This window comes from Homo sapiens, chromosome 17, assembly GCF_000001405.40.
Source record: "Homo sapiens chromosome 17, GRCh38.p14 Primary Assembly".
Classification (NCBI taxonomy): domain Eukaryota; kingdom Metazoa; phylum Chordata; class Mammalia; order Primates; family Hominidae; genus Homo; species Homo sapiens.
In genome coordinates, this window is record NC_000017.11 from 56,424,710 (window position 1) to 56,443,509 (window position 18,800).

Genomic DNA, 18,800 nt, shown 5'->3' on the forward strand with positions numbered 1-18,800 from the left:
TAAGGCTGATCTACTTTATTCTCTGCAAAGGGGAAACTTTTCTTGGGGAAATAACAGTTTCAGCAGCCCCTGTGGTAACAGAGTATTTCTTTGATCTCTTGCCACTATCTGAGTGTTGTTTTGAAAGTTATTTAAGGATGAAAGCATCCCCAAAAAAACCTACTGTCAAAGGGGATTTCAGCTCACCTCAACTCCAACCAACTCTGAGGTTTCAAATGTGTAGAATTGAGATGGTGACAGCTACATAAATATTAAATGAGCAATGAGATGCCAATGTTTTTATTACTGTTTGCAATTGAACTTTGAGTAAAGCTGAGACCCGTTACATACACCTGGAGAGAGAGCATGGCTTTTGATATGACCACGATATATGATTTGGAAATTTTTAAGTATACACTGTTGCTAACAGCTCTTAGTTAAAAAAAAAAAAAAAAGTAGCTGAACTCCAGTATTCAGCATTCCTATGAGAGCTTGTGATGCTGTGATGCCAAATATTTGGGTTTACATAGAAATTTGGCTCACAGATGCCTCAATGAATAGGAAAAGGTGGTTTTGGTGGGTAACAGGAAGTCAGGAAATTTCCTCCCCCTCACAAAGGTGGAGATAATGTCCACAATTTAACTGGTACCACATCTGACATATATCATTGCACCAATGTCTTTCTGGTCTCTTTAACTACAGCATTGACTCTCTCCAATTTTCCTCCTACAAAATATAAGAGAAATTTTCCTAAAATGCAAATCTGATCACATAATGGCTGATCTTTCAAGAGCTCCAAAATGCTTTCAAATAATGTTGATACTTCTTAGCATAACCTGAGCTCCTGTCTCCTGTCCCATCTTATTTCTAAAGTCACACTCCCATCTCACCTCATCTCTTCTCCTGTTCCTTGTAATTGCCTTGCAATTCCCCGACCACACCATGACTCCGTGCCTTTGCACACACAGCAACCTCTGCCTGGAATGCCTTTAGCCACTCTTTCCTATACATCCTTCAGAAGTCTGCCAGGAGCCAGCCTGTCTAGCAAGTTATCCCTAACCACTCCCTGCCAGACTGTTTAGGGTGACCCTAATCTGAGCCTGCCTCTATCATTACTCTCATCAGATTGTATTATAATCTTAAATTGACTTGACCGTCTCGCTTCCCACCATTGTACTGTTACTGTCTGTAGGATAAGATTTGAGCTTTGTTCATATTTACATCCCCAGGACATTTCCTTGTCCCTAGAAGGGTGTCAGTTAGAGTCTGATGAATCAGTCAGCCAATCAGCACACTATATTTAAAGTTGGATTTGATTTCTTATCCTGAATGTACCAGCAATTAGCTTGGAATTGAGTATTTGACCAAAAGATACAAAATTCAAAAAATTCAATTATGTTTATTTGGAAGCTATTATGTATATTTCCCTCCAATAAGTCCACATAATTCTCTTTCCTGTCTATGGGCCAAGTACCTTACTCCCAAGATTTAATCCTGGTCAATGACCTTCCTGTCCCACCTTGGTTACTTTAGAATACATAAAATTTTTCAAAATCTGAAGAGTTCCTTTCTTTCAACCACATTCTCCTCCCCACAGTCAGTGACCTCTTTTGAATATTTCCAAATAGCAGTCTTGTTCTTCCTGTTCAACTGTCAATGTGACAGTCTTTACTAATTGAACAACTGCATTCATTCATTTAAGACACCTTTATTGGATACCTACTATGTGCCAGCTGCTGTCATGGACCAAAGTAAAAGGCATGCATGAGTCAATCTACCAGTTAAGCAGATGAGCTGGAAAATACTCAACATTATGCATTTTAGGTCAAAGCTACTGTTTTAACTGTGTTTTGTGAATGTTGAAAATTTAGAGATATTACATACAAGCAGATATGGAGAAACTAAAGGCAACACACAAAATAGAGATAACTACAGCACTTTCCCAAGAAAAGTAACTAGGTCCTTCAAATACCCCTTGCTAGGATATGCAATGTATGTTGAGATGTTTAACCTTTCACAGGGTTCTGAAAAAAATAATACATATATCTTGCTTATAACATAAAGGGTATTCTTTGATCTGCTGAAGCCTACTTGAGAATCCCCCAAAAAAGAACTCCCATGTGACCTTATGGAGATTTATGTCTCAACATCAGCCAGTCTGATCATCACAAAAGCAGAAGCTGAGCCTGGGAATGGAGAACAAGACTCTTTGTTTCCCTGGGAAGCTGTGGAAGCTTCTTGACTTGATGGGAAAAATCTGAAGATTGAATTTTTCAGGATCAGTAAGGCACCTTGTTGAGTAATTTACAGGAGAATGTGAAAACAAATACAGAAGAAAAAAGCCCAAAATAGCACATTCTTTTTAGTGAGACACAGAGGGAAGAAGACTGGGGCTGGCCTCCCAAGAAGGTCTGGTTTTTTCTTTTTTATTTATCTTTAATTCCCCACAAATTCCTTTGGGTCCTGAGGAACCGCTGCTACTTCGGAGTTGCTTTGTTCCCAAGTCTTCCATCCTGTCTCTCACCTTAGCTTACATGTCTGTAGTCAGAAGAGAGAGAAACAGGTGACTAAAAGATATGAACCTTATCCAGAACTGGGAGTGCTCAGAGTAGGCTCTTAGAGGGGGAGGAGGAGAAACACTTGGCACCAGTAAGACTCCATAACATGAACCAGGCTCCAGTTATGGGCCAGCAATGTACACGAGTCTTCTGTGACTGTTTACATTGCTGTTTATTTTTTTTTTACTCAGTACTTATCTTGGCCACTATTGCCACATGTAGCTGATATGAACATACAGAACACCTTTATGAGACTCATAGACTCAGTACAACCCCTTGTTCTGCTTGGTGGTCACTGCCCCCAACCCTCTCTCCTTCTTGAAATGCATAACAAGGAAATCACAGTATTAGAGACAACTCTGGCCCCTGGGGAAAGGGGACAGAGGCGCCAACCAGGAGTCCCTGCCTTAAGTTCAGTCAGCGAAAGTCCAATATCTCACAGACTGTCTGAGCTTTACATAGTGGAGCTTTCTCTAGCCAAAGAGACCTCAAAATGGCTATTAATCCATTTATTACTTTCTCCCCATATGGATTTGGGAGGCAGATAAGAGAGACAGGAGTTTGAATCCAGCTTCTGCATTGATAGGCTGTGTGGATCTGAGCTAGTTATTTAAAAGTTTTGAGTCTCAGTTTCCTCATCTATAAAATGAAGAGAACATTACCTACCACATAGGAGTGTTAGGAGGATTAAATGAAGTATTTATGGCCAGGTGCAGTGGCTCATGCCTGTAATCCTAGCACTTTGGAAGGCCAAAGCAGGTGGATCACCTGAGATCAAGAGTTCAAGACCAGCCTGGCCAACATGATGAAACCCCATCTCTACTAAAAATACAAAAAATTAGCCAGGCATGGTGGCGGGCACCTGTAATCCCAGCTACTCAGGAGGCTGAGGCATGAGAATTGCTTGAACCCGGGAGGCAGAGGTTGCAGTGAGCTGAGATCGCACCACTGCACTCCAGCCTGGGCAACAAGAGTGAAAATCCATCTCAAAAAAAAAAAAGAAAAGAAAGACGTATTTATAACTAAAGCACAAGGCTCCAGTAAATATTAATAGATGGTCTCCCAGCATCCTCCAAAGATTACTGTTAGCTCCAATAAACCATTGCAGTTTTGATTGTTTCAGGATTTATTTTTTTTACTGTTCACCTTTTGTGACATTAATTATATGCTATATCTTAAAAGTTGATTACTTTTCAAATAATTGGAGCTTTTTTTCTTTTTTTTTTTTTTTTGAGATGGTGTGTCTCATTCTTTCGCCTAGGCTGGAGTGCAGTGGCACAATCTTGGCTCACTGCAACCTCCGCCTCCCGGGTTCAAATGATTCTCATGCCTCAGCCTGACAAGCAGCTGAGACTACAGGTGCCTGCCACCACGCTTGGCTAATTTTTGTATTTTTAGTAGAGATGCGGTTTCACCATATTGGTCAGGCTGGTCTTGAACTCCTGACCTTAAGTGATCCACCCGCCTCAGCCTCCCAGAGTGCTGGGATTACAGGCATGAGCCACAGCACCGGCCCATGGCCCCTTCTTAAAATGTGCTCTCAACCAGCAGACTGTAGATGAGGTGAAAAAGATGCTGCACACATTATGGTTTCTTGGGACCCAGCTGACAAAAAGTGCTTTTTTTTTTTTTTTCATTTTGTCCCAGAAGGAGAGAGAAGTGACTCTCATTTTATTCATTCAATAGCTGTTTTTGGAACTATTACTCTACAGATGTTGGCCACTGTGAGGGATGCAAAATTGAGTTAGGTGCAGAGTCTGCACTGAAGAAGTTCCAGGGAAGATAAGATATTCCTTTAACACAACTTTTTTAAATGCCTACCATGGGCAGATCCTCTTGTATACAGTGGGGTAAAAACAGATGAGCCCATGGATCTCACATTTTCTTAAGTTAACAAGTAAGTAAAGAAAGAAAACAACTTCAGATAGTGATAAGTGAAAAAAATAAAATAAGATAGTGTGTTAGGGGAGAGGCATAAATGGGCTTGGTAGAAATCACTTACTAAGTTTGAGAAACTGAAAGGGCAGATGAAGCGAAATGGATAGAACGGTAGAAGGGGGGCTTTCAAAGAAACAAGCAAGACCCAGATCATGATGCCTTGTAGGCCAGAGCTTAGCAAACTTTTCCTGTAAAGGATCAGATAGTAAATATTTTAGGCTTTGCAGGTTATATGGTCTCTATGCCAACTATTAAATCCTTCCATTGAGACAATACATAAGCCAATGAGTTGAATTTAAATTTCATATAATTTTCACGTTATGAAATATTTTGCTTTTTCTTCAACATAAAAACCACTTTTAGCTCACAGGCTATACAGAGACAGGCAGCAGGCTGGATTTGGCCTACAGATCTCAGTTTGCCAGGTCCTGTTGTAGACTATGTTGAGGAGTTTAGATTTTATTCCAGGTGCATTAGAGAACCAGTACAAGGTTTCTATGTAAGAAAGTATTGTGATAGGATTTATGCTTTGAAAAGATTGTTCCAGTGTCATTGGATTGGTGGGGGTATGAATAAAGGCAGAGAGACTAGCTCAGCTATAAAACTGTTGTAGGAGTATGGATGTGAAACAATAGTGGCTTGGATTAGGGTAATTATAGCAATGGAGTTTAAAAAATTAATAGGAGGCCAATTTGAAATATGTTGTGCTGGTAGAGTTGAAAATGCATGCACGTAAATCATTATAATATGAAGTAGAGTATATAAATGCCAGAAAGAATGACAGTTGAAATTATTCTGGAGGACCAGAGAGAATGACCTGAAGTTGATGGACCATGAGTCTTTCACTTGAGTAGGTTTTTGACAAGAAGAGAAGGGAGAGTCATTTTGATGTTGGAAAATATTGGTCCTCCTGTTTTCATCTGTAAGAAATGGACCATGATATTAAACCGTAAGCTCCTTGAGGTCAGAGATCATGTCATTTGCCTCTCCATAACCCTACAACCTAGCTGATCAATAATCTAATGTCATTTGTGATACAGATGAACCTGGAGGGTATCATGCTAAGTGAAATAAGCCAGATGCAGAAAAAATAGTGCATGACTTCTCCTATATGTGGAATCTTTAATTTTTTAAAAAAGGTCACAAACAGAAAAAGAGGGTAGAATAGCAGTAACCGGGGCAGTCGGATGGGGAGAGGGAAAATGGGGAGATGTAAGTCAAATGGTAAAAAGTTATAGTTAGGTAGACTTCAGTTAGTAATACTGCATTGTCTACTAAAAAAAATTTGCTAAGAGGGTAGATTTTGATGCTTTTACCACACACACACACACACACACACACACACACACACACAAAGGTAACTATGTGAGAGATGAATATGTTAATTGGCTTGACTGTGTAATCATTTCACTATGTATATGAATATCACAACATCATATTGTAAACCTTGAAAATGTAAAGGAAAATAAAATTTAATGGCAACTGCTAAAAAAACTAACATCAATTCCAAAAGTATTTATTGATCTTCTGCATGCTATGGCATATGCTAGCTGCTGAGGACTATAGTGCCATATAAAGTTGACATAGTCACTGTCCTCATGGAGCTTATCAGAATTAAAGAGATAATTGCACAAATCAATAATTACTGTGCTACAAAGGAACAGTATTTGGTGCTCTGAGAGGATATACCAGGACCCAATGTTGTCTTGGGGATCAGAGAAGGGTTCCATGTAGAACTGACATTTACATTGATGGCTGAAGGAAAAGGAAGAAATAAATAACGAAATAGAAGTCGGAGGTCGGAAGAAAGAGCATTTGCAGCAAAATGAACAGTATGCGTGAGTTTCCTGAGACAGGAAGGAGTCTGGCATGTTTCAGGATCTAAAAACCAGAGACAGAAACAAAACAAGTAAGCATGATAGAACCAAAACTAGCAGATGGAGAAGGCCCAGACCATCCAGACCTTGTAGGCCAGGGGAAGGATCAAGAACTTCCAGAAATGATAGGGGAGTTTTGGGTCGAAGCAGACCTAGCTTTAATTCCCAGTTATGCCACTTGTTAAATGGATAGAATTACTAAATTACTGACCTAGCCCATCTTTCAGGAATTGTGAGGATAAATGTTAAAATTATTTATTATGAGAAATAATGATGACATTTTCTGTAAAAGAAGCTGGTGGATTTTCATTAAATGGTTTCTCCTCCCTGGGCACAGGGTAAATGCAGGGAATAATATGACCTAAGGCTCAGAAATTAGCTTAAATGCTCAGCAAAGGTATCCCTATTTTGTGGCTCCCAGGGAGCAAAATGGAACTATGAAGATTGTCCTCCCCATATCTATGTCCACACATAAGTCAAACCCACTCAATCTGAGCCCCGATTCTGTACTTCTACAAGAGAAAGTGGGTGTCCAAAGATCAATCTGGCATTGATCCTGTCCTCAAGGAGTTTAATTCATTGCTTAAAATTATAAGGAGGAAAATGGGATCTTTTCAATGGATGAGGTAAGTGAATAAAAGAAAAGTCAGAGTGCCCCTTTCTAAATGAAGGCTCAGCATCTGGCAAGAAAGTTGAACTGTTTTTGCTTTTGCCCCCGTGGCTAGTGATTTTAATTTCAGGAATGCCCAACAGGACTCAGAAAGCTGTGAATGTAAACTGACTACGTATCTTGGTCTTTGTGTGTGTAAATCAGACAGCTAATCCTGTGCTCTCCTTGCTCTGTTCCTTTAGGAATGTAAAATAGCTTGCTGGAGCTCTCTCCATGCAAGCAACATGGGTATGGCTCTGCTGAAAACAAAACAAAACAAAAATGTCAGAATCCCAGGAAACATCTCCAGGAGAGCTCTTGGCCTGTGGAAGCGCTGTCAGAGGCTGCCACTTTTCAAGGGAGGTGTGGTGGGGTTAGCAGCCCAAGCCTGCTGATTTCCAATTGTCACTGGGTTTTAAAAGAGTTCTTGCTATTGTTCAGTTACATCCATTACAGTTTTTTAAAAGCTCATACTTTTTTCATGAACAAAAATTATCAGGACAGTTTCTCCTAAAAAACTAGTCTAAACAAGTGACGATCTATCTGGACATCTTACTCAAGGATATGGCAGGGTTTCAAGGAAGAAGAGAAAGTAGAAGAGTTTGTCTGAGTTAGTGATGTGACTACTTTTAGTTCAGTGTCCTAAAAGTGCTTATTCACAAGGTCCAGACAACATGAAATAAAATATTGTAATAATGTATAATAAAATATTACTACACATAGTAATAAAATGTAATAATAATGAAGCATGGTTAGTCCTGTTCAGGCGTAATCTTTTATGCTATCGGGAGTAGCGCCCTGGTATGGCCTGCCATCCATAAGAACAGCAATTAGTTTGTCAGTCCATGACTGCTGCCCTGGTTGCTCAGTCAGGTCCACAGATGCCCACCCTGCAGGCTGTGTCCTTCACGAGTTTCTGGGCCAGCCCTGGCTTAGACAAGAGCTAATGCAGGGAACCTGGACTCTTGTACTGCCCAGGACCTGGAGCCTGGCCACTGCACAGACCTCCCAGGTGGTGACTGCTTGGTAACTGACCTTCTGCCCCAGATTCCCTCACTGTGCCACTCCTGTGTCCTAAAGGGATTTGAGTACCTCATTCTTGACTCCTGATGTCAGGATGTTACCTAAATTATGCCCAAGAAGTCTACACCCCTCAGACAGTCATTATACCTGCTGATCATGATACATCCACCTTCCAAAATCTGCTTGAGCAATCATCTAGCATTTATACAATGATATGATGGTAAATGCTTAACAACTGATACCCTGGAGAGGAAAAATCTATATATATAGATTATATGTGCATATAATTATATACATATGCGTATAATCACACAGACATATATATGCATATAAGTCTATTGTAAATTTTACTGATAGAATGTGTAGCACACAATTCACAAATAATAATAAAACACACAATACTCTTTATTGTAGATTCTTTATCACCCATTGATTCTATCAAAATGCTTTTATTTTTGTTGAACTTTTGAATCTGCAGCCAAATGGTGGCTGCAATTAATGGAATGGTGCAGTTTCCATGTAAATGTTGGTTGCTATTTTTATTTACCTGAAGGAAGTAAAACAAAAAGCAACAAAGACCTGTTTTAGAACTTATTCATCAATGACATAAGCAACTTCTTTGTTGAATTAAATAATAGTTTTTGAGTATTAGAAGAATATTTCCTCAATTTTTTGTGCTATTTAAAAGAAAAAGAAAAGAAACTGTGAGATATACATACATACTATATATATGTATATATATATGATGGAATACTACTCAGCCATAAAAAAGAATGAATTAATGGCATTTGCAGCAACCTAGATGAGATTGGAGACTATTATTCTAAGTGAAGTACTCAGAAATGGAAAAACCAAACATCGTTTGTTCTCACTCATAAGTGGAAGCTAAAGCTATGAGGATACAAAGGCATAAGAATGACACGATGGACTTTGAGACTCAAGGGGAAAGGGCGGGAAGGGGGTGAGGGATAAAAGACCACAAATAGGGTGCAGTGTATACTGCCCGGGTGATGGGTGCACCAAAATCTCACAAATCACCACTGAAGAACTTACTCATGTAACCAAATACCACCTGTTACCCAATAACCTATGGAAATAAAAAAAAAAAAACTGTAACAGTCACAGAAATATTTAGTCTGCATTATTAACATTTTCTCCATCACTTTTTTAAGTCTCAGCCAGTGGTCAGCAAATTTCTCTGCTGAGGCAGGAGAATTGCTTGAACCCGGGAGGCAGAGGTTGCAGTGAGCCAAGATTGTGCCACTACACTCCGTCCTGGGCGACAGAGCAAGACTCCATCTAAACAAAAAAAAATTTAGGTAAGAGCCATAATATAATAACTATTAGGAGAGCAATTAACAAGCAAATGGTTCAGACTATGGAGGAGACTTTTTGTGGTTACTTGTAGTGCTTATGAATTTTTCAAAATCCTGAAAATTTAGACACCTCTGCTCCCTACCTGTATCTGTGTGTAGCTCTATCATATGATAAGCAAAACTAGGAGAGTACACGATATATGTAGAGAAGCACATATTATTTTTGTGGATGGCAGAACCTGCCAATAAATAAGTGAATCTAGCCTTCTGATTCCAACTTTGCTTTAATCTTCTAGAAGTAGTGGATGCAAGAAGGCTTTTCTAGTGTCAAAAAAAAAAAAAAAAAGAAGAAGAAGAAGAAGATGATGATGAAAAAGCCTTTTGCCCTTAATTTAAATCATTGTTTTTCTAGGGAAATTTAATTTGGGGAAAAAAAATGTTTTTCTAATTAACTGGATGACTGTGTGCTATGCAAACAATAAAGATTCTTGTTTGAAAGTAATGCATGCCCCTGTTCCTAAGACTACCAAGGGAATTTAAAATAAAAAATGCAAGCAGCTCCGACCTCATATTTTGCCAGAGCTAAACAGAATTCCCAGATCCAGAGTTTTCACGTCAGTTCCTAATTTAAAACCCACAAGTGTTGAGCGGGTTCATGCTGCAGCAAGACACATCTTCTCATCTCTAGAAATGACTGTATTTGATCTCGGTCTGGGTTTCTCGGCACGTCCTTCTCTCTCTCTCTCTCTTCTTCTTGTGCTATGGTTGGCCTGAAAGGTTAGAAACTGCACAATTAGATGGATCGGGGGAAGATTTCATAATGCTCTGGTGCTGGGTTGGGCAGTCTAGCCAAATTCCGTTCATTAGCTAAGGCGCCAGGGTGAATGTGGCCAGTAAGAATGCTGTTTTGGTTCCATCGAAGAGCTGATAGGGAATAGGAAATACACTTTTAGTTTTTTTGGTTTCTGAGAGGCAGTATGGACAAGTGAAGAGTCCAGGATGCTTGGAATCTGAAGGCCAGTTATTAATCTCCATTTCAACCACTAACTGAGCAGTAGAAGTAACTGCCATTCTCCTTTTGACTTTTTTCCCTCCGTTCTGACACAGTTGTCTTATGCTGTCTGTACCAGCGTGAAATTCCTGTCTACCGTAGACTTCAAGCATTCCAAAGTCAAGAATCAAGTATTCACCAAACATTTACTGAGCCACCTACACTCTGCTAGGTGCTATGATAGGTGCTTTGGAAAGTGATATTAATCAGACATGGTCCTTGCCCTAAGGAGCTTATAGACTACAGAGGAGATGGATCATTGAAAAACATAAAACAATAAAGCAAGTACAATGTGTGAGACATATTAAAATTGCTAAGGGAAAATTGGCAAGGATGATTCCCTTGGGAAGCCAGAGAAAACTAGAAAAAGGAAAGGACTTTGAACCAGGACTGTTTGAATAAAAGGATAGAAGTTTTTGTGGAAGAGGAGGCCATATCACAGGAGAAAACAGCACAAGCAATGGCTGGGTCTAAGGGCAAGTGACTGATAAGGCTAAGTGGAGGATTTGGGTGATGTTTGGTTAAGACGAAGGAATGTAACTTTTACAGTATATTCCTCCCGATGTGTGAACAGGATAAAACAACTCTAGGCTTTGAGGCATTTGAGATTTTAGGGAGAATCTGCACAACAGCAAGTTTTATGAGGTGTTTTTTTTTTGATCAATTGAATAAAAATTAATTAGGCATTGCTGCACTGTTTTATCTTTATGCCTTTACATTAGCATAGTTTCACCTCTCCAAAAGCTGGCCTGCAATTTGAGTGTTTTCAGCTAAAACAGGGTGGATTATCTAATCCACATCATAAGCCTTGAAATTTACCTAAACTTTATACTATGTTCTCTGCTTGGGTACCCAAACTCTTCTGAGTTGTGAATTTTCTAGTCTTGTAACTGATTCCGTGACATTTCCCATTACATTATAGACCTCAGGGTGGCAGGGCCAGGCTTCAGGGGCTCTTTTTCATTTTAATCTTCCAGCCTGTGATTTACATAGCTGCCATCAGATAATGGCAGTGTTCAGGTAGAACTTCCCTGCCCAAATGACTCTACATATCTGAAACCTAGATAAAAATTAAAGTTTTGTTAAAATAACAAGGAATCCCATGTAAAATAGTCATAGTTACTTGATATAAATACAAGGAATCACAGTGTGAGCCAGAGCCAAATTTTAGGAAATACTAATATCTAGGTTTTGTCGAATACCTTTCTTGCTAATTTTCAACTGCTATGAGCCATTGCGCAATTAAGCCCTGCTTTTCCTTCTCAGACCTAAGTAGAAACAGTTTCTCTCATCTTTATCTTAAACATTACAAGTTTTGTATAGTTTTAGAACCGGCTTATACGTGATTTTCTCAGGGTTTTAATGGTAAGTCTGTAAACTACCTATATACAACTTTCCAAAGAGAACATTCTGAGTTAACCTTCTTAGAATTCCCAGTTGCGGCCGGGCACGGTGGCTCATGCCTATAATCCCAACATTTTGGGAGGCTGAGACAGGCTGATCACCTGAGATCAGGAGTTCAAGTTCACGACCAGCCTGACTAACATGATGAAACCCCGTCTCTACTAAATACAAAAAAATTAGCCAGGTGTGGTGGTGCATGCCCGTAATCCGAGCTACTTGGGAGGCTGAGACAGGAAAATCACTTGTACCCGGGAGGCGGAGGTTGGAGGTTGCAGTGAGCTGAGATCGTGCCACTGCACTCCAGCCTAGGCAACAAGAGCGAAACTCCATCTCAAAAAAAAAAAAAAAAAAGAATTCCCAGTCACTCTCAAAGTGACTCCTGCTCACTCTGTTTCCCTCTTCATTCTTTAAATGCCCAGAAATTCCTTTCTTCTTTCTGTGGCTTCATGCCAAAAGGAGTCCACCAACCCAAGGAAATACACAGAGGGAAAAAGACTGTTGGTTGCCCCAGAATAGATTGGCCATTCTAACATGGAGAATTGTTTGCCTTTGATGTGAATCTTCTTTTTCTCTAGCCCCTTCCCTTTTGAAACTCAGATATGTTATAAAATCTAATTAGACTTAACTGTTTAAAACCCTCTATTAATTCCCAAAACAGAACCACATCTTCTTACAACCGGCTTCTGTTTATGTTTTGTTCTGCAAGAAGCCTGACACTCTTTTCCACCTGAAACTTGCTTTGTAAAACATGTTTCAGTAAAACTTGAACAATTTCAAAAATAAATTGAGGTTTCTTTAGAAATTCTAAAGATCGTATCTCTGAAAAACTTTTCATTAATCATTTGCCAAATAATCTGGTATTATTCCCACTAATCCCTTGCTCTTCTTTTGGCAAGTTGTCTTGAGTTCTTAGTCTGGAGTCACAGCCCTTGATTTTCAGCCTTCAGCTTAGAGCTCCACCACAGCAATTAATCATGTCTGTTTCAATGGCAACCAAAGATATTTTTGTTTCCAGAATTTTCCTATATTCTTTGCTCTTCCTAAATTTCTTTGCAAATTTGCTACTCATTTTTGTTTTGTTCTGTTTGTAATAACTTACTCAAGCATACCGTTTTTCTTCTATAGCTAAATTAGGTGTAACATTATTCTCTGATTACAAACCTTCCCCAATTTGACTTTCAGAGACTTGGCTTCTTCAAGAGTTAGTAGCTCGTAAGTGGAATAAAACATTTTGAAAAATGGAAACATACATGTAATACATATACATATATATAAACATATATATGTGTTTTAGAATACATATTTGTAAGGAGGTATAGACCGATTTGAGTTAATATATAATCTTAATCATTTGATTCTAACTAGATGGTATAACATGCCTGAGAGTTTCAAGGGGCAAGAAACTAGAAAAGGAGAAGATTCACATGAAAGAAAAATATTTTTGTGTTGGAAAAACTAATCTACTGTAGGTGTGTGTGTGTGTGTGTGTGTGTGTGTGTGTGTATACATATATATGCATTTGATTTGTAAGTATTTAATAAGCACCTTCAATGCACCAAGCACAGACCCACACTAGAAAGGAAAAAAATGAATGACACTTTCCTGTTCTCAAGTTTCTCATGCTCAAGAGAAAGAGATACATAGCGTAAAACATAATACATTATAATAAATCTCGTTTTTACAGAAATAAGGGACTTAGGGAGCAGAAAAACTGGTGTATTTGATTAATTATTCCTGATGAATTTAGAGATGACTTTGCTAGGTCCTAAATGATTGGTGAGTTTCACCAAGCAGAGGTTGGAAGATGGGGAAAAGACACAGAAGCAGAAAATGCACAAAATAATCAGGTAACAGAGACTTACAGAACAAAGACTTTCTTCTGAAAAATGGCAGGAATTTAGAAGAGTAATATATAATTGGGACCAGATAAGAAGGTCCTTGAATGCCTTCCTAAGATTTCATTTTATTTCAAAGCAACTGGACTCTATGAAAAGATACTAGGTGGAGGAATAAAATCATTCAATCTTCATTTTTCAACTATAATTCAGGGTATAGTAAAAGGATTTTTTTTCTTGAGACAGGATCACACTCTGTGGCCCAGGATGAGTGCAGTGGTACAATCACAACTCACTGCAATCTTGAACCCCCGGGCTTAAGCAATCCTCCCACCTCAGCCTCCTGAGTAGCTGGGACAGTAGGAGCATGCCACCACTCGGAATGGGAGGCACTCAAGTAGAGATTAACAGAAGGAAGTTCGAGCTCAAGGGGGAGGCTGGACATAGAATCACAGTTTTAAGACTCATAGTTAGAGCCATAAAAAGTGGATAAAGTCAATACCAAAGGCAAACATGTGGAGTGAAAAGAGAGCCAAACATCAAACTCCCAAGGAACATCACATCAAAGGGAGAAGGAGAAGGGGCAAAACCAGGACGAGTCTAGAAAGAGGCAGTTAATGCAAAAGAGAAGTAGAAAGGCAAGTGCAACCAAAACCGGGGGAGGGGAATGGTTGCACAAAGTAAGGAAGGCCAAACATGGCAAGATTTCCCAAAGGGAGGCTGTTGCTGATGATCAAAGCACAAGAATTTTAGGAGAGCAGTTTCAAGAGTGTGAGGAAAGCAAGCGAGATGCCCAGGAACATTCTGAAGAAGAGGAGAGAATGCAGGATCATCCAGAGCAAGGGAACTGTGTGACTCGAGGGGCGCAGCAGGCTTTGGAGATGGTTTGATTTTGAAATATTAAAGTGTCCTAGAGAATGTCATTTAAATCTTAAGATCTATTGCTTATCACAAAGTTTAGAAACAGAGGCCTTGCTTCCCATGGGATTTAAGTCCCTTAAGTCCCTGCTTCATTTATGCTTGCCTTAAATCCCACCAGGTATAAGCAATTACTTAAGATACTTTTTACTGATGATGCACAATTTATCTTTCCTGACCATGGCTTTGTCAACTGATAGAAAATGTGATGAAAGCATATGATATCACAGTAAAATGGGGTGTTAGAATTTGTATGACTTAACTAGAAATAAACATTCACCTTGGGGATGTCAAGGGAGAAGAACATTAAACACCTTAGCCACAAACCCCTTTTCCAATGAAAAGGCTTGGAAGAAGCTATCAAGGAGAAGAAGGAGAGAAGGGGAAGGGAGCAGTATATAAGGCATTAGGGGAAGAGAATGTTTTCAGAAAAAGAAGGTGTCAAATGATGTGGAGATAATGAAAGGAGGCTTCTTTATTTGGAGTGAAAATCTCACTCAGACCTTAAGAGAGGCTTTTCAGTAGAATATGGCGAAGCAGATGTCAGACTTGGAGAGCGAATAGAAGGTAATGTCCTAGTGGATCCTTTGGTTCTCAAATGCAGTAAATAAGTTATCTACTATATAGAACAAGCTGTTACATGTAATGTGCCTGAGTATGTGTGTGTATATTCATATACACATACACATACACACACAAATGCACACACACACAATGTGTTTATATGGCAATGGTCTCATGAGCAATATATTTAATATAACTTACATCTGACATTAAGAACATCACATAAATGTGCATGTACTACAATATACATTATATTTATCAAGGCTCAAAAAAACTGATAAGTTTTTATTATTCTTTTCTGCTCTTCTTTTAAAAAAAATGTGAACTTGGAAACTAAATTAACATCTCAAGGAATGTTGTCTGATACACCAATATAAAGAAAGGAGGGTGCACTTAACTCTTTCTGAGAGGGATTGTATGCTAGAGTTTCTATGGTACTTCTTGATGTGTGACTGAATTTTATTCTCCCTCTTTCTCTCTCTCCCTGCCCCCCTACTCCCTCCAGTGGAATGGAGTATGTCCGAAGACTTTTCTCCTTTGGCTGGAGAAATCATCATGGATAATCTGCAGACTCTGAGATGCACAATCACAGGACTTACAATGGTAAATGTCCCCAGTAGACTTTTCATTTCCCTATTGCTGATATTTGTGCTGGGATATCAGTAGCAAATGTCTATTCTGAAAGCAACAGCCAACGCCCAGTCCTCTGGCAACAACTGCCACTCATTAAGCATGATATGTCTGGTATCTAGAATCTGAATTTCACAAAGGAGTAAGCAGACAGCATGAATCACTTTATAAACTGTCGTGTTCTAAGGAGATCAGAAAAAGACTGGCCTCATGCAAGCCTTGAAAGCTGCTGCTTTCTGGATCACAGTCTAATCTTCTGGGGGAAAGCAGGGAGTGGATCAAAGGCTCTGAGAGATGCAATTTTGACTCCCTGTCTGATGGTAAAAATAACAGCTTCATCTCACCCTCATGCCCACAGCCTCAGCCTCGGTTGAGATCAGTCATCAATTGCAGTCACATAATTTCCTGAGAGAAATCCTTTTCCCTTGATTAAAAAAAAAAAACGAAGTCTGTCTAAATATGTTTTCACAAAAAAGAAACTATATATGGTGGAGCTATGTTTCTCAGCAACCTAAACTAATTTAAACTGTGAGTGAAAAACTGGAACAAACTGCTTATTTGTTTAACTAATATAAACTCAAAAGTTAATTATTTAGAATTATGAACATATGAGCATATGAAATGCAAAAAAAATAAAAACACCTTGTAAATCAGTTCAAACTGGAGCAAACCCTGTATTTCCTCAAGCAATTAAAATGCAAAAGATAAAATTCTTTTTTCTCAAAATATTTTAAAAGTAAAATTAAATCAAACCTTTTTCAGTCCAATTCAAATATTTAATATCTTAGGACCTTCAGATGAGGGAAGTAGAGGGATAATTTTGTTATTATTGTTGTTGTTTTCTTAAAGGTTTGTTGATTAAAATGTTACCTACAAAGTATAATCCTAAAGCCCACCCTTAAAAAAAAAATGCATCAGGTTGCATTTCTTCAAGTTTAAACCTGCTTATTCTAATGGAATTTTTGATGCTTGGGTAATCACCACGGAATCCTGACGTTTAGTCCTAATCGCATATCTATACCAGGGGCCAGAACTGTGGATTACCAGAGCAAACAAACCCCTGAGTGGGTGGCCCCCAGAGATGCTATCAGTAGAAGACTGATTCCAACCCTATGGCTCACAAGATGGAAGAGGGCCAGAAGGAACCCTAGGGAATTTTCATTGCTTAAAAGAAAAAGTGATATGTGATAAAAATGGAAAACTCTCCATAAAGAGTTTCTCTAATATCTGAACTAATTTCCATAGGGATTAAGTTTTTCCACTTGACCATCTAATGAAAGAAATGCAGACACTATTGTAATCATATAAAAGCCTAGGAGTAGATTTATACTTTACACAATCTCTATAACTTTGAGGGTCATAGAAACCCATTTTCAACATTAAAACATTGATTTCCTAACACAGTAAGGTCAATATTTTATGATCCCTAGAAAAGTCTCTACAAAGATGTGCTTTTTTTTTTTAACTTCAAACATCATTTTACAATTTTTACAAGCAATGTTTCATCAAATGCTGGCTTCTCAAATGCCCTTTGGGTTCACTGGAAAAAAATATAAAAGCAAAATGTAAAATATAAAAATTCAAGCAAAATATAAAAACTATACAAAAGATTTTAAAACATTATCAGCAAATAAAAACAATTCCTTAATTCTTAACATCACAAAAGACCATTAAAGAATATAAGCCATTGTTTTAACAATGGCTTTAAAATTGAAGTCACATCAAAATGTTAATTTTTTTAAATGTGTATGCAGCTGAATGAAGGATGTTTATTGCAGCATGTTTATTGTAGCACAAAATGTGGGAACCATCTAAATGTCCACCAGTCAGGGACTGGTTAAATACATGATACCGAATATTTGCTCACAGTGAAATGTATGCAGACACAAAAAGAGCAAGGCAGTTATTTAATGCACTACTCTGAAAAGATATTTATTATAACTTATTCATTTTCTAAAGCAAGTTGATCACTAAAAGAAGTGACAGCTATTACCTATAGGAAGGGGAAAATAAGGAGAATGATGTGAGAGTGGGAATTGCTATTTTTTGTAAACCTTGTAGAACTATGTGACTTTTAAAAATTTATATATAGTTTCAGGGGGCTCAGGAAAAGTCATTATGATTCTTAAATTTTGAAAAGAAGAAAGTGCATAGAAACTAAGAGGGAACTTCAAATATGGTTGCTGTGACATATAAACATAATAGTCAAGAAAAACCAGAATGCTATAGATGGGCTATAGTTCTGTTGCCCATGAACTCTGTTGCATGGGCAACAGAGTTCCAAAGAGATGAAGGAGTTAATCACACATAGTTATTAAATTCTATACCCATAGAGTCTAGGGTAAAAATGATTAAATAAAATGCCTGATGCATCATTTCAATACTTTGCAGGGCCAACAGTATTTTGTTCAAGTCTCGGCTTACAATATGAAAGGATGGGGACCTGCTCAGACCACGACACCGGCATGTGCCTCTCCTTCTAGTAGGTGGTGGCTGTGAACTCTCTCCAGCATGGTAACAGACTCCAACTGCAACTCCATCTTCAGGGTGCCATTGCCATTCCCTTCCCCCACTGCTTGCAACCCATAAGACCTTCTCAGGGCAGCATCTGGGCCACATAATGAATGATTCCCCTGCAGAAATGCTCCTGGGGAAGCAGCTCAGTGGAGTAAAAGGAGAGGGAATTTGGAAACAGAAAGGCTGAATTTGATACCCATTATGCCTCTTATCATCTGTGTGGCCTTCAAAAGTTGTTTAACAGTCAGGCATGGTGGCTCATGCCTGTAGTCCCAGTTACTGGGGAGGCTGAGGCAGGAAGATCTCTTGAGCCTAGGAGTCAGAGAGTTCGAGGCTATAGTGAGTTAAGATCGCACCACTGCACTCCAGCCTGGGTGACAGACTGAGACACTGCCTCTAAAGAAAAAAACAAAAACCAAGTCTCTGAGACTCAATTCCATGTCTTTAGAACAGGTCCAACCACACCCTTTCATAGGGCTTTTGTGGGGATGGATCAGATGCCATGGTGGGAGTGGCGGCCCAGAGTACATACAGTCCATTG

The 18,800-nt window shown here is 38.8% G+C and overlaps 1 protein-coding gene across 15 annotated transcripts in view, besides 1 other annotated feature; it reads left to right on the top strand.

Moving 5' to 3' along the window:
- ANKFN1 (ankyrin repeat and fibronectin type III domain containing 1) overlaps positions 1 to 18,800 on the top strand; it is a 470,940-nt gene that overhangs the window by 378,633 nt on the left and 73,507 nt on the right. For all 15 annotated transcript variants that reach the window (XM_047435502.1, XM_017024263.2, XM_011524430.3 and 12 more), the window contains 2 exons: positions 15,618 to 15,715; positions 18,134 to 18,224. In XM_047435502.1, coding sequence (XP_047291458.1) covers positions 15,618 to 15,715; positions 18,134 to 18,224 — 189 coding nt within the window. The remainder of the gene's footprint in view (positions 1 to 15,617; positions 15,716 to 18,133; positions 18,225 to 18,800) is intronic.
- Positions 3,848 to 4,057: a silencer, noted in NCBI's record as "silent region_8737". NCBI's record gives its function as "represses an Ori minimal core promoter by ATAC-STARR-seq in GM12878 lymphoblastoid cells {active_cell/tissue: GM12878}" and the evidence as "EXISTENCE:reporter gene assay evidence [ECO:0000049][PMID:35858748]".